At 37.4% G+C, this 22,296-nt stretch overlaps 1 protein-coding gene across 9 annotated transcripts in view, besides 1 other annotated feature; it reads right to left on the bottom strand.

Moving 5' to 3' along the window:
* PPP2R3A (protein phosphatase 2 regulatory subunit B''alpha) overlaps positions 1-22,296 on the bottom strand; it is a 182,167-nt gene that overhangs the window by 118,908 nt on the left and 40,963 nt on the right. For 5 of the 9 annotated variants that reach the window (XR_001740196.3, NM_002718.5, NM_001190447.2 and 2 more), the window contains one exon: positions 1,889-2,155. The exons of 3 other annotated variants lie outside the window; for them this stretch is intronic. Coding sequence is in view for 5 of the 6 variants with exons in the window: in NM_002718.5 (NP_002709.2) it covers positions 1,889-2,155 (267 nt within the window). In the remaining variant the exon portion in view is untranslated. Of the gene's footprint in view, positions 1-1,888; positions 2,156-5,785; positions 6,246-22,296 lie in introns of those variants that run through there. One more of the 9 variants, NM_181897.3, reaches the window with a different exon arrangement.
* Positions 21,486-21,780: a silencer, noted in NCBI's record as "tiled region #9179; K562 Repressive non-DNase unmatched - State 24:Quies". NCBI's record gives its function as "represses a minimal TATA promoter and a strong SV40 promoter by Sharpr-MPRA in K562 cells {active_cell/tissue: K562}" and the evidence as "EXISTENCE:reporter gene assay evidence [ECO:0000049][PMID:27701403]".

Here is a 22,296-nt window from a genome sequence, read left to right as displayed (position 1 = left end):
CAGCTACTTGGGAGGCTGAGGCAGGAGAATCGCTTGAATCTGGGAGGTGGAGATTGTGGTGTGCCGAGATAGCGCCATTGCACTCCAGCCTGGGCAACAAGAGTGAAACTCTGTCTCAAAAAACAAAACAAAACAAAACAACAACAACAAAAAACAACAACAACAACCCTGTTGGCATTTATGTAGTTACCATATTACCTCCAAATGCAGATTTCATTCAGCCTTGTTAAATTTTATCTTTTGGATTTACAGCCATAGTTCCAGCCCATTCAGAAATTTTATCATCAGGGTTCTGTCATCTAACGCAATAGCCACCTCTAAAAGAATTGGGTAAGAAAACCCTGAATGCCTTAAAGAACTTGTAATATATTTGGGTGGCTATTAACTGGAAGTTAGTTACTGTTACCACATGTCCAGGGAGATGACATATGTAGAAACAGCACTGTGCTAGAAGTTAGACAACTTGTCTCCCGGCATGAACTAGCTCTGTGACTTCAGGTAAGTACTTGTAGAACTGCAGTTCCCTCATAAGTAAAATGGAATGGAAACAGATAAGCTCTTATTTCTGGAATGAGTTTGTTTTTCATTAGAAGCATCTAGGGTATCAACAAGCAATTTTTAAGAAGGGGGAATGAAGGAAGAGAACAAAGAATTCCTTTTCATTTCCTTTAAAATCACTCTAGTTACATATCATTTAACAGCAATGACAAATGCTCTGTGAGGTCAGAGGTAGGGCAGGGCATGACAAGTGAGGGTTCAGGGACTTCTCCAATAATACACAATGGAAGCTAGGTCTTCAACAAAGTGGATGCTGAGGAGGTTGGCAGGAGGGGAAGCCCACTCTGGAGGGAGAACTCTGAGAGCCCAAATGCAGAGGTGTGCCTATGAGAGGGCAAGAGGGTCACGCTTATACAGGAAAATTTTAGGCAAGTTTGGAAAGAAACTCTGGGGCCAGGCTGTGGAAGCCATGGAATGCCAGGAAGAGAAGTTTGAGGTTTATCCTGAAGAATGGTAGTTTTCCAACTTTTTAACATTACTCCTGAAAGCAGGGGAACCCTTCTCAGTGGAAGTGTGCATGGGCTCTTAGGTATTCTCACTTGGTCTCCTACTTGCCTCCATGCAGCCCTTAGCCTTCTAAACCCCTCTGCCTCTTGAAGCACAGCCTAAACTACTGCTAAAGCCTGAAGTGTGACCTGACTCTTCAATATTTATGCATAATAAAAATAAAGCCCAAACAAAACAAAGCACTGCTATAGAAGGTGGGAATTCTTGAATATTGCTAAATTGGGAAATGGCATAATCAAATATAATCTGATGGTTATGCTAAGTATTAACTGTTCTGGGAGGAGGCTGGAGGCACAGAATCAAGTCAGAGTAGTCCTGACATTAGGGGGATAAGATTTTAACTCAGAAGCAGTTGGATATATTTGAAAGTTCCAAAGACTTGCTTCCTATTGTCAAATCCATTTATTTCTGGGTAAAATGACTGTATTGAGATGGTCTAATGCTTCCTTGTCTGGCATTAGGGCAGTTATGATCAATGGGTGAGACTAAAAATCAGATTCCTATTCAGCACAAGGAAAAATTTTCTAACAAACAAGTATTTGACAATAGGCCAGGCTGCCTGGCAAGGTAGAGCTTCTAGTCTCTGAAAGCATTCAAGCAGAGAATGAATTTATGAGTTGGTGATGTCTTGGAAGGGATTCTTATATTAAATAGGAGGTTGAAATGGAAGATCACTATGGGAAAAACAACAACAATTCCATGCATGCTTAAAAACAGAGCAAAGAGGCAGTGAAGGGGGGTGGGATCCGGGTTTCTAGAGAAGGGGAGGGGATCAGGGTTTCTAAAGAAGGGGAGATTGTAAATCATTTAGTAGTTACATTACCTTTGCAATTTTCCCCATTTCATAAATGTCTGCTTTCTGTTCTTCAATATCCATGAAAGCAGTTTCAATTCTGCTTAGAGTTTGTTCATGATTACTACAGGTATCTGGGAGTCCTTCAGGAAAGTAGAACCGTGGAATGTTTATGGACAATGGCGCATTCACAACATTATTCACATGGGGAACCGGGGAGAGAGGTCGGGGACTACTTGGAGAGGTGGCTGGAGGTGGGAGTGGTGTTCCAGGTTTCTTTTCTGGTTTATTTTGAATCTAAAAGAAAAATAAGATTATGAGACACAAAAAATTTAAACAGTATTCATTTACTGAAAATTCTCACCAGCAATATAAGAAACCACAATCAGAGACAGGAGAGATTAAGGGCTCACTGTACTCTTAAAGGTGGTAAGCATGTTTCTAGGGAATGCTTATCTGCACTAAATTAATTAATTTATTAATTATCTGCCAGTACTCAAGTTTACATAGATTTACGTTTAAAAAAATACATAGGTTTCTCCATCAACTATTTGGCAGACATTTCAAAAGACTCAAAGAGCAATGTTAGTTGATATATTAAGAATCTCAAGGTGTATTCTCACTCTGTTGGAACTGGATTAATACATTCTTTTTGAAGACAGTTCTTGGTCTTTCTGTGACTTTTACCTCTCTTTCAACAGGCAAAAACAAGTTCCTTTTAAATATATATATCCGAAAAGTATTTGGGGAAGGGGCTCCTTTTACCTTCTCTAGTTTGACTTTGCTGAGGTAGAATCACTGCCAGCCCTTGATGCTGAGAAAATCTTTGTTAAGAAAATTAAAGCATTTTAGTTCTGAAATGTCCCCTACCTGGCTGATTTATTTGCCACTAGGGCCACGCCATTTTCTGCAAGATACACATGTATCTTATTTGTGGTTTGCTCCAATAGGCAAAAACCATGGTCATTAATTTCATCACAACCAAACTCCCTTTACAGTTTAATAACTCATTTACAGTTTATATTCTTCTTCTTTTAAAAAAATGATTTGATGTGGCATACTATAAAGAGACATTAGAAAGGTCAGTAAAGAGTGGCAGGGAGGCAACGAGGAAATTAAGATTGCCCATGATTTAGGAAAAAGGGAGGGGAGGTACACCATTATTCAGGTAGAAATTTATCTTACCAATAAAGACTAAATTTAGTTCTGAGATTCTTACCAGAAAAAGCAAAAAAGATTCCATGAGGATTTTCATAGTTCTAATTTCCACTCTTAATTAATGGCCAAATTATCAAGGCTCATGAGCATGGTACTGTATTAGATGCTACATAAAGTATGAAAGATGAACACAACTGTTGACTAGCTAAATACATTGTATAGGTATTATGAACACAAAGTATTATTCAAATTTCTTCCTTAAATTACCCTAATGCCATCTCTAAAGTTTGAACAATGATATATCTGTAAGAAATATATTTATCATATTTCTTAACATATAGGTTTATAACATAATTTTAAAAATCATGATAAAAATTTTAGCTACCCTTAAAAATGTGAGTTTTATAAAGAGATAAGATTTATTCATATAAATATATGAAAATGGTTAAATCTCCTATTTTTGTCATAATAGCCCAATTTCCCTGTGTTAATATCTGACATTAATACACAGAATGGAGTCTGCTCATATATTAAGACTATTAGGGATATGAAGGCCAGTTGTCACACCATGTCTTTGCTACAGTATCAGGATGTCACCCATATAAAGCAATAGTCAAGGAAGAAACAGAACAAAGGGAAGTGATACCAATGAAATATGAAAAACTTAAAACACTGATGGCTTACTACTCTGTGACCTCAAAATGGTTACTTAACCTTTTGGAATTTCAATAATAAAACAGAAATTACAATGTCTACTTCTTAGAAGGTTGTTGTGAGGATTAAAGGAAATTACAAGATGTAATATAGGTAAAAGGTTTAGAACAGTGCTGGGCAGAGATCCATCTATCATGTAAGAAGATGAATGACAAGACCAAAGGATGAGATTCTCAAAAAATTAGATGAAGCATAATTTGGCATAATCTTTCAGATTCAATAATAAAATAATCATTTGCATATGTAAAGCAATTTGAAGTTTACAAACCACTTTTGAGTTAACAAATTGACAATCCATTTTCAATAAACATTTCTCTCTGCCTTAATGCTAAATCTGTAAATATTACACAGTCCCGTAAGTCAATAAATTATTATTATTCTTCAAAGTGTTCTTAAAATTCTAAAGTAAGGCACAGAATTCTTCAGGGGCTTTACCTAGACCATTTATATTAGTGTCATTCCTTTTCCATTATTCTATGCTGAAAGAGATTTGTGAGGTTCAGGTGTACAATCACCAATGTTTTCTGTGGTGTCACATCTAGGGCAGTTATGCCCATAGAATTAAGACCACTGGTGCCAGCAGGGATGAAACCTGAGAGTCTCATGAATACATACTAGTGGGAAAGGTTTACAGCAAGGTCTTCAATGTTAACTCTATGCTTTTGCTTTGACAGAAATAAGTGATATTCAGAACACTGGCTGCCAAAGATTTTATTTGAATGGGAAAATATCTGATTATAAAATATTCTGTTCTGCTTTTCTTAGTGTACTTAACACAGAGCAATTCACTGATAGGCAACTATTAATCCACTGGTCAATTCCATATTTAATAAAACTGATGTTAATATTTAAAAGGAAAATAACATTAAAATAATGCATTTATTTTGAGCTTTTGGATACTCAATTTACTTTCTATTGAGTTCTACAGGAGATATATAATTTAAACCTTAAAGTAGCTGAATAAAACTGGTAGTTTACAAACATTATGGAAGAAAACCTAGTAACATAAATTCTGCCAGATTTACTAGCAAGTTTAGCATCTGCTCACTTTGGATACAGTGGTTTCAGTCCAGTCTAGGAGCAGCATTAGAATAGAATTAGCTGGGTAAAATACTTCAATTCTCCATTTGTCTTTCCCTATAAACACAGTATCATTTAGATATTCATTCAGAATAGTATCCTTGTGCTATTATGTCACTGTAGCATTTCCAATATTTGATCATTTTTGACCTACAAAAAAGCAATTTCATATTTACCCAAATAATTTGAGATTATTCTGGGTCAGAATAACCATAAAACTATGGTTTCTTGCTGGATTTTGGATGGCCAGCATTTGTACAGTCCTTGATTTATATTGTAGTCAATGTTAGGCACTTGTTTGGTGAAACACTGCCATAGGTTTTAAGCAAGAAAGTAGGGACTCTGCAAAGTACTCATCATAGGCAGAAATGACTCAATTGCACAGCTTGCTTAGGGAAGACATTTTTAATGATCTAGAAGTAACCACCAGTCTTTGTTATCTACATACATTACGACACACACATACACAATTGTCTATATAGACAAATACGTCTTGCTTTAAAAAAAGATTACCAGGATTAACATACTTTTTAAACAAACATTTGTTACAGATGTGTATGCACGCTAATATATAATCTATTGATTCAAAGTGCAAACAAGGCTTTTAATACAGAAATTCTAGTTTCTCAAGGATATTTCTATGAAAAATTCTGGTAATTTTCTACCTAAATTGTAAAATGTTCATTAAGTTGTATTTGTTGTCTCTAAAACTGGATTCCCTCTCTACAAGAGAAAAATGTGAGTACTGTACTCCAGGTCCAGAAGGTCTATTTTTAAACCTGTTGGAATCCCTCTGCAAATAGCTTTCTGCAAATAGCTGAATAGAGGACACACATTAATTCCTTGATCTAATATCAAGATACAAGGGAGCTGTAAAATTACTTGTGAGTTAGTTCACTGGATGGTTTTATTAGTAATAAAAATATTTTCAAAACAAAACAAAACAAAACAAAACAAAACACCCAAATTTCAAACCTGTGTCTGCTGAAATGACTTCAGCCGCTTCTTAAACCGTGAAGGGAGAACAAAATCACAGCCCCTTGCCAGGAAAGCTAGCTCTCCCCTTAAATCCGGGTCCCTTCGTAGAGATGTTTCCTTGATCATCATCTTTGAAAAGTAAATGTTTACTTCGCAACTGTCCAGCACACTTCTGAAGATAATCAGATTTAGCAAGTTGTCAATCTTGTCAGGTAGGAAGGTATTTTTTCTTCTTATCTCCCAAAGAAATGAAATTCAAGCATTGTGCTCTCCCAGCCTCCACAGACCACAATCTATGCTTGTCCTGACATGCAGCTGGTTCCCAAATACAGTCTGTGGCTCCCAATACCTGCTCATAATTTTCAAGTTATAAACACAGCCTGCAGTGGGCCTGTTGCTCCTTGTTGGTAGCTTTATGTCAAATTGACCTGCACATGTTGAGAATATGGAGCCTTCTGGGAAAGGGAGCACCCACTACTCTGTGTACCAAAGTTAGAAACATTACAGCTGGACCTAAAAATAGTACCTTCTCAGATAATGCTAACTTCTTAAACTCAGGGTATGTGAGGTGTCAATCCACATAAAGCAGTTTCTTCTCAAACTAGAAGAAAAAGAGTATGTAGAACATTTTCGGCTTTTTCTCTTTAATATTTTATAAAAAAAAGAACAGGCTACTGAACTTCGAATTTGAAACTATTAAGAATAGTTTTTTATTTTTTATTTGAAGGGAAGTAAATACCCAAATCTTTCCAGATCTCTCTAGTCAAAACAAGAGGAAAAACAGAAACTTTCATTCTCAAATGGGAATTTACAAAAAGATCTGTTGATCTCAGATGTAAAATTTTTTAAAGCAAAAGACTATCATAGTTATCAAACATTTTCTTGAACTGATGATGAACATATTTGAAAATTTGTTCTTGGAAGTATTAAGAAAGTAGAACAACTGAATGCCATAGAAAAGTTTTAGATACATATAAGCAAGTGAAATTTGGCTAAAAAAAGGACAAAAGATGATCAAACAGCAATGACATACTACATACTGAATTTGTAAGTTTTCTTCCTTTGAGAAGCTTTAATCAGTTAAGATTTTTAAAATACCTATTATTTCATCATATATTAAATATCTGCCTCATATAGTTATTTGTAAGTGAATCATAAAGTAAAGTCATCCTTTGGTAACTGTGGGGATTGGTTCCAGGACCCTCCACGGACCAAAATCCACAGCTGCTCAAGTCTCTTACATAAAATGTGTAATATTTGCATACAACCTACTCACATTCTCCCATATACTTTAAAGCATTTCTAGATTACTTGTAATACTTAATACAATATAAGTATTATGTAAATAGCTGTTATACTCTATTGTTTAGGAAATAATGACAAGAAAAAAAAGTCTGTACATATTCAATACATATGCAACCATACTTTTTTCCCCAAATATTTTCCAACTAGATGTAGAACACATTGATACAGAGGGCTGTTTTCTCACATTTTATATTTAGATTTCAATATTTATTTTCAATCAACCACATCATTCAATATTTTTCTATGTCTAGAAAATATACACCAAACATTATTAAAACAAAAAAATAGCTTACAACCCTCTTTTACTGAACCTTTGTCTAATTTAGTGGGAATTAAATTCTTTGGTTTTCCACTGTTTCCTACAAATTTAAGTCTGCTTTTTCCCACTGATTTCTTTTCAAGACATTCTGACAACTCTTTCTAATGTATACATTAGGCTTATATGTCTAAAGCTGTGTTTTAAAGAATTTCTTTTAAGTGGCAGAGTCTTCTGTTCACATCAAATTTTATCTGAAAGCTTTTGATACGTACTATGATTGAAAGAGGATTACAACTGAAAACCACTGGTCTTATGCTTCATCCTGAGTCGTTCCTTATTTTCTCAATTTTCTCTCTCACTGGGCTTCCATGTTAATTCTTTGAGGTGGGTAGCTTTCCCATATTTTTTCCTTACACTCCCGACTAGAATACTCTTTTTCTCCCTCATTATTTATCTCCTAAATAAAATGTCAAAAAGGTTTGTAGGAATGCAACTAGGCCTTTAGACTTACAATTTAATGCTTATTCTATTAAACCACACCTTAAATTTCCTCTCCTTCCCAACACCAACCTGTGGCTGTAGGTGAGTAGGTTCATTCCTTTCCTGAGAATGCTCCCTTTCCTCAAATTATACATTCTAATCATCTTTCAAGATCCATCTCAAAATTTAGCTATTTCATGAAGGCTTCCTGTTTATTTAAGTCCCCTTACTGTAATTCTTAACTTTATATATACAGCACTTAGTGAAATACTATGTAACGTCTCTCAAAGGAACTCCACTTAACATATTATCTTATTTAGCCAAAGCTCTCCATTTCTCCTCTGAAACAGAGCAACTAATGCCCATCACACACAGATTTGTGGCTAATAGTTTCTCTTACACTCTCATATTTCTTACCTTAGTAGTTGGGTTGTGTGTTTACTAAGAGTCAGCTGCATTTGTCCTCAGTCTGTTTATGCTGGTTATACTTTTCACAGTAATTATTCAATTCATTACATAAACTAACAAAATATAAGCGTGGAAAAGAAAAGCTGTTCTAAAATTAAAAAAAAACCCTAAGTTTTAGTAAAAGTAAACTACTAAAAAGATTTTGCTGTAAAATTAGGTAAGGGTGGGATGAAAGAGAAAAATCACTGAAGTTTAGAAGGTGTCTACATTCAAATTGCTTTACTACTATGTTCTCTCTCTAAAGAAACTAAAACTACAAATCAGACAACAAACCTATTATGAGTGTGATTTATCAAAGAAATATGTCACAGAACTCTAAATATGTATGAGACTCATTCTCAGAAAAAAGGCTTTGACCCTCTATCAAAAGACATCAGAATAAATTAATGCCTGAGTTAAAATGTTTATATAGACATTTTATAGTACACACACATATAGTTTATGATTCCCTACTATCAAACTCAATCATGTTCAGGTAAAAGGGCTTCTACTGTAATATTTTGTAACTTGATCATTATTTTCCAGTAGTGTCTAAACTCTTGAGGACAAGAGTTTAGATTTTAATTTTATAGTCATTCAATTACTCAACAAATATTTTTATATATAATCACTTATATGCCAGACACTTTGCTTGATATGAAGCTAGAGAGATGATAAAGATGTGGTCTCTTTCTTACTGTGCTTTCTAGCACAATGTTGGTTTGGAGCAAAGGACAAGAAATATTTTCATTTCATTTACTTCCTATAAATCTGCTAAGTTTCAAAGTCAGAACAGTGGTTAAAAGCCTGCCCTGTTGTTATACCCTTAAGCAAGAAAATATTTCTTCATGTCTTTTGATGAGGAAATAATTGGTAAGTTTTGATATATCAAAATGTTTTCCAAAAAATTCAGAGGCAAAAAGACCAGGATCCCTAAAGGGCTTAGAAAAGAACTGGTCTGTGGCAATGAGTTATTGACAGAGGAAGACTAGCATGAAGTTGGTTTATTTGCTTTTTACTTATTTACTTGTGTTTGAATGGAAGTATTAGTATATATGCTTGGTTTCTGAGAGGATCTGAGAACACGAGTTAGTTTCAAGGAGTTCATGACAACTGGAATATAGCACCAAAGAATATGGTTTTTAGAGTGACTTTCCAGGAAAAGATCAAACATAGGGGAATTTCACTACAGAGAAATATATGATCTGTGATCTACTCTCTTCTCTCTCTGCTTTGATGACAAGGGAATGTACAATCTATGGGGCTGGGAATTATAAGAGAAAAGCTGTTTTGGGGTGACAGATTTCTCCTGGAGGAACTAACCAGAATGAGGAAAAATAGAGAATCATAAACACATAGGTTATAAATTAAGTTTGAGCACGTGGAAAATTAGGAGCTGTGTGCAGTTACAATGGAAAGAGCCACTGTAAAAGTTTTCCAAATGTCTTTCTGGAATAAACTAAAAAATATTTTCTCCTGCTCCCTGCAGCATATAATTAAGTCCATCCTAACAAGCTAGCTGATTACCACCAGTAGGAACTTCCTGCACAGCTGCCTGCATCTCTTCTTGGCCTGCAGATCACTCATGAACTTTCCCTGTCTGAAGACACAGGCAGTCCTATCTGGACCATGTGCTCAATCTGAGTCTTCAGGATGACAACGATAAGAGAGCTTCATTAGGCAAAAGACTGGTGCTCTCTGCTGTGGGGGTGGCTGGAACACATCAGTTGTTAATTTGAGATCCAGCTGTCTTGGTCTGGGTCTGGGGTTCCTTTCCTGCCTTACCATTCCATATATCTTTCTCCAGAACAAGCATGCCTGGGCAAGGGAGACAGTCTTTCTCAAAAAGAACCGGGTAGGATAGGCTGCTGGGCATGAGTTTTACAGGTTCCCTCTGGCAGAGTTATATGGAAGAGAAGCTGGCCTCTCCACTATGACCCTAAAAACTAAATATTTTTTTTCTTTTTTAGGATAGCCTCTAATATCCCAAGCGAGAAAAGATGCTCCCTTACCCTATACTGAAAGGACCTACAAAACTGAGGAATAAGTTTAAAATGTACCCTGAAGGAAGGTGAGATTGGGTAGGAAACAGAGAATAAAACTGTGAAACACAACACATTCTGTATTTATACAATTCATTCTGTTAGGCTTAGTTTGAAATCCAAGACAGATTTCTTAGAACTTTCTGAACCCTCTTATTATTCCTTGCCCTTCCCCCTTTGAAAACGAAGACAATAGTGATTTATAATATTCTTTTTTTCTGGGGAAATCAGCTACATGGGATGTTTTAAGAAAAAATGGGTTGATTACACAGGACAAAGAAAATAATTTTGAACATTTGTCTGAAGAAGTCTCTTATTTTGATTTGTGTATAACTGTTAAAAAACAGTATTATATATGCAATGTGTTGTACCAAAGTAAGTCTACCCCTTTATTTTTTTGAGACAGGGTCTTCCTCTGTTGTCCAGGCTGGAGTGCAGTGGCATGATCTTGGCTCACTGCAACCTCCACCTCCCTGGCTCAAACTATTCTCCCACATCAGCCTGCTGAGTAGCTGGGACTACAGGCACATGGCACTGTGCCCAGCTAATTTTTGTATTTTTAGTAGAGACAGGGTTTCGCCATGTTGCCCAGGCTGGTCCTGAACTCCTGGGCTCAAGCAATCTGCCCACCTCAGCCTCTCAAAGTGCTGGGATTACAGGTGTGAGCCACTGTGCCTGGCCTAGCCCTTTATTTTATATATAAACATGTAAATCCATTCAACAGTCTCAGCTGAATGTGGTTATGGAGACTGAGATGATAGCATCAGCTAAGGCCTTAGAGTAGGAAAGGCAGTTGGAATAATGCAGGCAGCAAAGCTATAAAAATCTGGATGACAGAAACATAGCACAGTGAGGCTGGGAAATCAGCTCAGCTAAGTGAGGACCTGTATTGAGGTTAGTGTTAGAAGCAGGTCCAGAAAGATAGCATAGTCACTCTGAAGTGACACCAAAGACAGAGAGTCACTCTGAAGTGACACCAAAGGATTTTGCTCAGAAGATGCTACAGAAAAAAAGTTACATATCAAAGTGGAGGTCCTGGTATATCATGAGGGTGCTTCTGATTAACAAAAGCCAGCCAGCTGTTTGGAAAAATCTAAATACGTTAACAGCCTGTCCTTGTCCACACAAAAACTTATACACAAATGTTCACAGCTGCATCATTCATAATTGCCAAAAAGTGGAAACAACCCAAATGTCCAGAAAATGAATTTTATCTCAATTTTTAAAAAGCCTTCTCATGTTGTAGTTCTAACAGGCTGAGTAGTTTAAAAAGGTAATAACAGAGTGAATAATCAAGGAAAACTTCCCTGGCGTTGCTAGAGATCTAGATATCCAAATCACCTGAGAAATTCATTGCAAAAAGATCATCGCCTAGGCACAGTCATCAGGTTATCTAAAGTCAACATGAAGGAAAAAATCCTAAGAGCTGTGAGGTAAAAGCATCAGGTAACTTTTAAAGAAAAACCTCTCAGATTAACAGCAGATTTCTCAGCAGAAACCCTACTAGCTAGAAGGGATTGGGGTCATATCTTTAGCCTCCTTAAACAAACAATTATCAACCAAGAATTTTGTATCCAACTAAACTAAGCTTCATAAATGAAAGAAAGATAAAGTCTTTTTCAGACAAACCAATGCTGAGAGAATTCACCACTACCAAGCCTGCATTACAAGAACTGCTAAAACAAGTTCTAAATCTTGAAACAAAACCTCGAAATACACCAAAATAGAACCTCCTTAAAGCATACATTTCACACGGCATATAAAATAATAACACAATGAAAAAACCCCCAAGGTATTCAGGCAACAACTAATATGATGAATAGAATAGTACCTCACATGGCAATAGTAATGTTGAATGTAAATGGCCTAAATGCTCCACTTAAAAGATGCAGAATGGTAGAATGGATAAGAATTTACCAACCAAGTATCTGCTGTCTTTAAGAGACTCACCTAACGTATAAGGACTCACAGAGACTTAAGGTAAAGGGGTGGAAAAAGATAATCCATGCAAATGGACACCAAAAGTGAGCAGGAGTAGCTATTCTTATATCAGATAAAACAGACTTTAAAGCGACAACAGTTAAAAAAGACAAAGAGGGACATTATATAATGATAAAAGGACTAGTGGAAAATATCACAATCCTAAATATATATGCACCTGACACTGGAGCTCCCAAATTTATAAAACAATTACTACTAGACCTAAGAAAGGAGACAGATAGCAACACAATAATAGTGGGGGACTTTAATACTGCACTGAATGCACTAGACAGGTCATCACATCAGGAGGTCAACAAACAAACAATGGACTTAAACTATACCCTAGAACAAATGGACTAAATGGATACTTATAGAATATTCTACCCAACAACTGCAGAATATACATTCTGTTCATCAGCACATGGAACATTCTCCAAGACAGACCATATGATAGGCCACAAAACAAGTCTCAGTAACTTAAGAAAACTGAAATTATATCAAGTACTTTCTCAGACCAAAGTGGAATAAAATTGGAAATCGACTCCAAAAGGAACCCTCAAAACCATGCAAATACATGGAAATTAAATAATCTGCTTCTGAATGATTGTTGAGTCAACAATGAAATCAAGATGGAAATTAAAAAATTCTTTGAGCCAGACAATAATAGTGACACAACCTATCAAAACCTCGGGGATACAGCAAAAGTGGTGCTAAGATTAAAGTTCATAGCATTAAATGCCTGCATCAAAAAGTCTGAAAGACCACAAATAGACAATCTAAGGTCATACCGCAAGGAACTAGAGAAACAACAACAAACCAAACCCAAACCTAGCAAAAGAAAAGAAATAACAAAGATCAGAGCAGAACTAAATGAAATTCAAACAACAACAAAAAATGCAAAAGAGAAATGAAACAAAAAGCTGGTTCTTTGAAAATATAAACAAAATTGATAGACCATTAGAGAGATTAACCGAGAAAAGAAGAGAGACGATCCAAATAAGCTCAATTAGAAATGAAACAGGAAATATTACAACTGATACCACAAAAATACAAAAGATCATTCAAGGCTACTATGAACACCTTCATGCACGCAAACTGAAAAACCTAGAAGAGATGGATAAATTCCTGGAAATATACAACCCTCCTAGATTAAACTAGGAAGAAACAGAAGCTCAACAGACCAATAACAAGCAGAGAGAGTGAAATGGTAATAAAAAAAAATTGCCAACAAAAAAAAGTCCAGGACCAGATGGATTCACAGCTGAATTCTATCAGACATTCAAAGAATTGGTACCAATCCTATTGAAACTATTCCAAAATATAGAGAAAGAGGGAATCCTCCCTAAATCATTCTATGAAGCCAGTATCACCCTAATATCAAAACCAGGAAAGGACATAAAAAAACTACAGACCAATATCTCTGGTGAACATAGATGCAAAAATCTTCAACAAAATACTAGCTAACTGAATCCAACAGCCTATTAAAAAGATAATCCACCATGATCAAGTGGGTTTCATACCAGGGATGCAGGGATTACTTAATATACACAAGTCAATAAATGTGATACACCACAGAAAAAGAATAAAAAACAAAAATCACATGATCATTTCAAATAGATGCGGGAAAAGCATTTGACAAAATCCAGCATCCCTTTATGATTAAAACCTCAGCAAAATCGGCATAGAAGGGATATACCTTAAGGTAATAAAAGCTATCTATGACAAACCCATAGCCAACATTATACTGAACAAGGAAAAGTTGAAAGGACTCCCCCTGAGCAGTGGAACAAGACAAGGATGCCCACTTTCACCACTTCTATTCAACATAGTACTGGAAGTCCTAGTCAGAGCAATCAGGCAAGAGAAAGAAATAAAGGGCATCCAAATAGGTAAAGAAGAAGTCAAACTGTCGCTGTTTGCTGATATGATCATATACCTGGAAAACCCTAAAGACTCATCCAAAAGCTCCTAGATCTGATAAAGGAATTCAGTCAAGTTTCAGGATATAAAATCAAAGTACACAAATCAGTAGCACTGCTATACACCAACTGAGACCAAGCTGAGAATCAAATCAAGAACTCAACCCCTTTTACAATAACTGTAAAAAAACAAAATAAATAAAATACATAAGAATATACCTAACCGAGGAGGTGAAAGACCTCTGCAAGGAAAACCACAAAACACTGCCAAAAAAATCATAGATGACATAAACAAATGGAAACATATCGCATGCTCATGGATGGGTGGGTAGGATCAATATTGTGAAAATGACCATTCTGCCAAAAGCAATCTACATATTCAATGCAATTCCAGTCAAAATACCACCATCCCTCTTCACAAAACTAGAAAAAACAATCCTGAAATTTATATGGAACCAAAAAAGAGCCCACATAGCCAAAGCAAGACTAAGCAAAAGAACAAATCTGGAGGCATCACATTACCTGACTTCAAACTATACTATATCGCTATAGTCACCAAAATAGGCACATAGACCAATGGAACAGAATGGAGAACCCAGAAATAAAGCCAAATACTTACAACCAACTGATCCTTGACAAGGCAAATAAAAACATAAAGTGGGGAAAGGACACCCTATTCAACAAATAGTGCTGGAATAACTGGCAAATCACATGCAGAAGAATGAAGCTGGATCCTCATTTCTCATCTTACACAAAAATCAACTCAAGATGGATCAAGGACTTAAATCTAAGACCTGAAACCATAAAAACTCTAGAAGACAACATCGGAAAAACCCTTCTAGACATCGGCTTAGGTGAAGACTTCATGACCAAGGACCCAAAAGCAAATGCAACAGAAACAGAGATAAATAGATGGGACTTACTTAAACTAAAAAGCTTCTGCACAGCAAAAGAAATAACAAACCACAGCGTGGAAGAAAATCTTTGTAAACTATGCATCTGACAAAGGACTAATATCCAGAATCTACACAGAACTCAAAACAAATCAGCAAGAAAAAACCAAACAATCCCATCAGAAAGTGGGCTAAGGACACAAATAAGACAAGTCTTAAAAGAAGACGTACAAATGGCCAACAAATATATGAAAAAATGCTCAACATCACTAACGATCAGCAAAATGCAAATCAAAACCACAATGCGATACCACCTTACTCCTGCAAGAATGGCCATAATTTAAAAAATCAAAAAATAGTAGATATTGGCATGGTGGTGATAAGGGAACATTTTTACACTGCTGGTGGGAATGTAAACTAGTACAATCAATCTGGAAAACAGTATGAAAATTCCTTAAAGAACTGAAAGTAGATCTACCATTTGATCCAGCAATCCCACTACTGGGTATCTACCCAGAGGAAGAGAAGTCATTATATGAAAAAGATACTTGCACACTCACGTTTATAGCAGCACAATTTGCAATTGCAAAACTATGGAACCAGCCCAAATGCTCATCAATCAATGAGTGGATAAACAAAATGTGATACATACATACATACATACATACATACATACATACATACATACATACACACACACACACACACACACACACCATGGAATACTATTCAGCCATAAAAACTAATGAAATAATGGCATTCGCAGAAACCTGGATGGAATTGGAGACTACTATTGTAGGTGAAGTAACTCAGGAATGGAAAGCCAAACTCGTATGTTCTCACTTATAAGCTAGAGCTAAGCTATGAGGATGCAAAGGCATAAGAATGACAGAATGGACTTCGGGGACTTGGGAGGAAGGGTGGGAAGGGGGTGAGGGATAAAAGACTATACATTAGGCACAGTATACACTTCTCAGGTGATGGGTGCACCAAAATCTCAGAAATCACCACTAAAGAACTTATCCATGTAATCAAATACCACCTGTGCCCCCAAAACCTATTGAAATAAAAATAAATAGAAAATAAATCAAAAGGGTTAACAGCTTGGAATCACAGACTTTCTTTAAAATATCCCTGTAAATAGGCCTTATGAGAGCCAACTGATTATAAGCTAATTAGTTAATACTAGATTTCATAACCTTTCTGCTCTAACTTGGTGTTTTCTTCATTATTTAGTGGCTTGTTCTGTGTTACTATTTTTTTTTTCACTCTTAAATAATGAAACACTGGTGGGGGAAAGGAGGCCAGGTAGTGGTAGTTATCTATAGTTTATTTGTTCCCAGCCTAATTCTCTAGCCTTGACTTCACTGGCTGCAGCAAAATAGGAAAGCATGTGTATGATAGAGGAAACCTAATAAGCATTTTTGTGTCTTGCTCCAATTGCCTCCAAATTATGGGAACACATTCTATGACTAATAACAGAAAGAACCCACAAAATCTGGTGTTTTTGCTTTTCAGTGTTCCTAATACTTGGGGTAGATGTTGTTCTAGGATCTGGGGCAGCAAGGAAGAATTAGAGCCTAAAATGATCAGGAATAATAATTCTGGGATCCCTAGAATTTCTAGTGTCTAGAGTTCTCTGTACTTCTTAGTCTGCTTTTTTTCTTCCCTCTCTCCTTGAGGAATTAATTCAATTAGAGATTGCTCATTACAGACCATAATAATTCATTTTTGGCCTATAAATATGTTGGAGAAAAAAGAAATGAAGGGATTCTATTTCACTGACACTGCCATGTTAAATAAATGCCTGGTGACTGGTGCTATAAAATACTCTGCCCCAGTGTCTTCCTTGGTGGAGAGTGTGTGTGTGTGTGTGTGTATGTGTGTGTGTGTGTGTGTATGATTTCTCAGTAATTGTGGGTGGGAGTTGAACTCACAGATGTCAAAACAGGAGCTTGGAACTGATAGTCAAGGACGCTGGTGACAATGAGCATTATGCTGGAAGTACGACAAATACGTCTCTTGGATGCCAAAGCACCTCCCAGGGTAAACACCTTAACTGTGGTCTCCAAAAGTAGATCCATGAGAGGGGATGACAGAATAACTCCTCAGACCAAGGCTAGACTAGTTACGGTTTGCTGGCAATCTCAAGGGAGATGACTGATTCAAAGATCTCTATGTAATTCCCAGTTCTTATGAAGGACTGCAAGATATGGTATAATAGAGCTTCTGAAGTGATCAGTTTACACACGTAATTTTATCCAATTTCTGAAGATGATCATATTGGGAAGCCTGGTTTCAGGGGCTCAAGCCTGGCTAAAATAGTGGAATCTCTTAGGGTATCTAAGAGAATTTAGAAAAATTACCTTTATTATTTTTTTCTTCTTACAAAAGGATAAGGTTGGTTGTAAGGAAAAATTTAAATACTACAGAAATATAACATAGAAACAAAAGTCCCTATACAAAGTGACAATTACTAACAAATATCAATTGAACACTGAGTGCCAGCTACCAGGGATATAGCAGTGAATGTAACAGATAAAATTCCCTGTTCTCATAGAGGTTTCATTCTAGTGGTAGGAGTCAGTGGAGAAAAAGAAACAGTAATTGAAATAATATATCAGGGGGTGATAAGTGTTAGGGGAAAAAAAAACAGTAGAGGGGGAAAGGGAATGCCAAAGATTGTATGTGTGCATGAAATTTTTAGGGCAAAAAGGCCTCAGTGAAGTGATATTTTTACAAAGACGGATGTGGTGATGGAGTGAGTCCTGCAGGTATGGGGTGGGGGTGTTGTAGGAAGAAGGAACAGCAAATGGGAATATGTCTGGTATATTTAGAAAGAGGAGGGCTAGAGGAGGAACTGGAAACAATAATAACAGCTCTTTCAGAGAGCCCTGGAGTGAAGAAGAGCAGACAAATGAGTGTTAACTCAACTGGTATGTTGGAGCACTAGGGGTCTGTTTTGTTTTAAAGCTGGGAGAATTGTAGCATGTTTATCTGCTGAAGGAGTGATTGAGCAGAGGAGAAAAACTGATGACTGCAGGGGAGAAATGGGTCAATCTCTGCAGGAGTGTTTGTGAGTTGATGGGAGGGGATGGTATCTATTAATAAAGCCCCAGTGTAGGTCTGGCCTTAGACAGGAGTTTGGGGATGGGCGCGGTGGCTCACGCCTGTAATCCCAGCACTCTGGGAGGCCGAGGTGGGCGGATCACAAGCTCAGGAGTTCAAGACCAGCCTGACCAACATGGTGAAACTCCGTCTCTACTAAAAATACAAAAAATTAGCCGGGCGTAGTGGCGGGCGCCTGTAGTCCCAGCTACTTGGGAGGCTGAGGCAGGAGTATGGTGTGAACCCGGGAGGCGGAGCTTGCAGTGAGCCGAGATCCCGCCACTGCACTCCAGCCTGGGCGACAGAGCGAGACTCCGTCTCAAAAAAAAAAAAAAAAAAAAAAAAAAATTAGCCGAGCGTGATGGCATGCGCCTGTAGTCCCAGCTGCTCGGGAGGCTGAGGCAGGAGAATCGAGGGAGGCAGAGGTTACAGTGAGCCAAGATCACACCACTGCACTCCAGCCTGGGCAATAGAGTGAGACTCCACCTCAAAAAAAAAAAAAAAAAAGAAAGAAAGAAAAGAAAAAGACAGGAGCTTGGATGGTTCATGTATAGAAATAATAGAAATAGAAGGAAAGGGAGAAGATATTTAGTACTGATATGGGTAGGAGATGGATAAAGGTCTCTTCTGATTGCTTTAGTTGTCTCAGTAAAATAGGAAACAAGATTAGCTGAGGGTGAGGATGGGAAAGATGCTGGAGGTTAGAAGACAGGGAAAAAGGCACCTGCAGAGTGGAAAGTGAATGGACTAGGGAAACACAGTAGGACTGCCACACAGTACTAAAGACCCACTGGAGGTTGGTGGTCATGAATTTAAAGCAAGACCACTCAGCATGGTTGTGTGATCTTCTGTAGCCAAGTTCAGCTGCACGAATAAAAGCTCAAAGTAGACAGAGAACACAATTTAATCTGAGTTGGAGCTGTTCCAGGTGGGTACCATGAAATGAGGGGATGACAAGGAACCTCAGAGTATATTCAAGGGAATGATTTTAGTGACGAATTATGGCAGTGGTTCTCAAGCATAATCATGCATCAGAATCACCCGGAGGGCTTGTTAAAACCAAAAAATGTTGAGCCCTACCCCCAGAGTTTCTGATTTACTAGGTTTGGGTTGGGGTAGGAGAATATGCATTTCTATCAAGTGTCCAGGTAATGCTAACAGTATTAGTTGGGAACCATACTCTTAAAACCACTGACATAAACATAAGGCCAGAAAATGAACGAAGAAGGGCAGAGGACAGACTCATTAGAGGAGATCAAGGAATTGAGAAGCTCCTGTATTGGATACCTTATCTATCAAACACTCGAACAGTGGCAAGAGTAATATTGAAAAGTGTGTCATAAAGCCAGGAGATAAAACCTTCAAGAAATAAGTGACCTGGGTTGGTAGATGACTACAATCAGAAGAGGTAGTGGATAGCAGAGTCTAATGGTATTAGTTCAAAGTTGGGGCGGGGCTGGTTTCAGGGAGGCAGCCAGGAGAATAGTCTAGAGCAGCAATGAAATGCAAGAACCCTTACTGCCCCCTCCAGGCCCAGTGGGATAGGGGGTGGGAATGAGAAAGAATAGAGCCACCATTTCACTGGCTACAGTATCCTTAGGAAGAGACGAGTTTAAGTTATAATAGGAAGGGAAATGTTTAGAGAAGAGATATGACATAGGAAACTTTGCCGGTAAATCATCATGAATTCAGAGTGCAAGAGGACATGGTGAAACGATTTCAGGAGTTGGGAGGGTTGGAAGTGGACTTAGGAAATATATAAGAGCAGTGTGAGGAGGAAAGTGGGGTGGGGGATGGGGGGTGATCTGGATTCCTGGATTTCTGGTGGTGACTAATGTAAACAAGGATGAAGGGCATATTAGACAGATTAGTCCTGATGACCTTAAGTCAGAGAGTGGTGGTGAAGCTGTGAGGGTTGGACAGGCCTGTGGGCTTAATGGAGCAAGCTGGGTTCTGGGAGCTCCTCTTCACTCCTGCCAAGGGTGGAGTGGAGGCTGGGAGAGGGCAGACTTATCAGGAACACCTGGATATGAGATTCACTTTCTACTTCTGGAGGAACATGAATAATATTGAGCATATGTACCCCAAACTTTGTGTGCATAAAAATATATTAATAACAAAAAGGGATCATAATGGTACATCTTGCAATTTACATTTTTAACTTTATCTTGACCCTTCTACATCAGTACATATATATCTACCAGGCTCTTGTGAACATAGGTGGGGACATATTTGAGATACCTGATGTTAATCAGAAAGAATGCAGGTATTAATGCAAAGGTACCTGACGTCAGAAGCCACCAAATGTGGAGGGGGATATTCAGGTTGGGCTCATTCCACAAATTCCTATTTGCCACCAGGCAGATGTGTTTACTTTTATTAATCTGCTTGGTGGCAATTGAGAGGAGGAGAGAATGGTTTCCTATTGTATTGCTAAGTGTCTTGATTTCTACTTAAGCATTCCCAGCACTGAATCCAGGCACCATGAGCACCTACAAAGCCAGGGAAGAAACATTTTCCCTCAGTGACATGACTGGCTAATGTTAATGAAGGCATGGATATAAACCTAGAAAGTAAAGAGAGAAAAGTGTTTATTAAGGCTCCACAAGGAACGTTTAACAAAGTTCCTAAAATGTGCTTTGCTAAAATGTTAAATTTATTTTCCTAATTATTCTGCATTCAAATATGCATATAAAACTATACACTATACTATCTAAACAATGAGGAAACCTAAATGTTAGATCATTAACATAGGAAGGTTCTTTATTTCCTCTGGAATGAAATCTCAAATACAAATTCCTGCTCAGGGTTAGAAGAAAGCAAAGTGAGTTCTAGTAACAACAGAAATTATGCTCACCTTCAAAGATTTCTCTCGGGCATCCAAAAACAAATAAACAAACAATTGTACTAAAATTAAACGGCCAGAAATATCCTTTTCCAACCCAAATCCATGAGGAGGAAGATGGCAACTTCTAAGAATGGGCAAAAGGACAATGAATATATAGGTATTCCTTAAAGAGAAAGTAAATTGTTACAAAATTTTCAAAATTTAAACAAAGAGCTTGTATATAGCGTACTGTAAGAAAGCCTGTGGGAACAATGGTGATCGAGAAAGCACCCTCTCCTCAAAATGGCTACAGCATATTATCGAGGGATTTCTGCCCCCACAATAAAGTAAAACAATCTACACTCACATGATGTCTTTCCCTCTTGCCAGGAAAGGTGACCAGACCCTTCCTAGGGTACTGTCGTTTTTTAGGTGTTAAAGGCTAGAGGAATTAAAAGACTTAGAGGTCTAGGTAAGATACTTGAGTCTTGCTGAGGCACTACCCTGAAGTCTGAGAAGGGCACCCTGATGTCAGGTCCTCTTGTACCCATCCTTGAGAAGCAAAAAGCAGGGAAAGGGATGGCCCTCAGGCAAGGGAGCGGTTTCCATTTGAGGAGACAAAGCAGGAAAGTGAACATCCCCTCACTTGGTTATTCATCCACTTACTCATTTATTCATTCAACAAATAGCTATTTAATGCTAAATAAAGGCCAACAGAGGCTAGTAGCCCAGATGTGGAAACTTAAGAGAGATTCACACATCTCCTTCCATATTCTTATTTCACTATTTCATTTTTACCTCGGATACATTTGAGAGCTTGAGATAACATTTTTGGAGGCTGAATGGAAAAAGAGAAGATCAGATGTGAATTAGGTTGTCAGGCAGACTGCCTGCTTAAATTCTGACTTTAAACTCCAGAAAACCGATGGGAAAAGGTTACCACCTGAAGGACAGGTAGGCTTCTTACTCTCTATCCCTTATTGGTGTGGATTCTACTAACTTGGAATTCATAATAATATAAGCAGAGCAGTCTGCAATTTCCCTTTATATTCTCTAGGAAGGAAAGTTCTGTTAGAACAATTTTTGTTGCCCTTGATCATCAAGATAAAACTATTACAGAGCTTAGGTTTGAGAGAAATAATGGATTCATATATATCTATATAGTCTCTTGCTGAATTCCCCTGGGACAAAAGGTATTTGGAGAAGATTTGAAGCAAACAGTAAAATGTTAAGATTTGACAAAGCTAA

Source organism: Homo sapiens, chromosome 3, assembly GCF_000001405.40.
Source record: "Homo sapiens chromosome 3, GRCh38.p14 Primary Assembly".
In the NCBI taxonomy this organism is placed as follows: Eukaryota; Metazoa; Chordata; class Mammalia; order Primates; family Hominidae; genus Homo; species Homo sapiens.
Note: the sequence above shows the minus strand (reverse complement) of the source record. Positions and strands in the feature narration are given on the sequence as shown.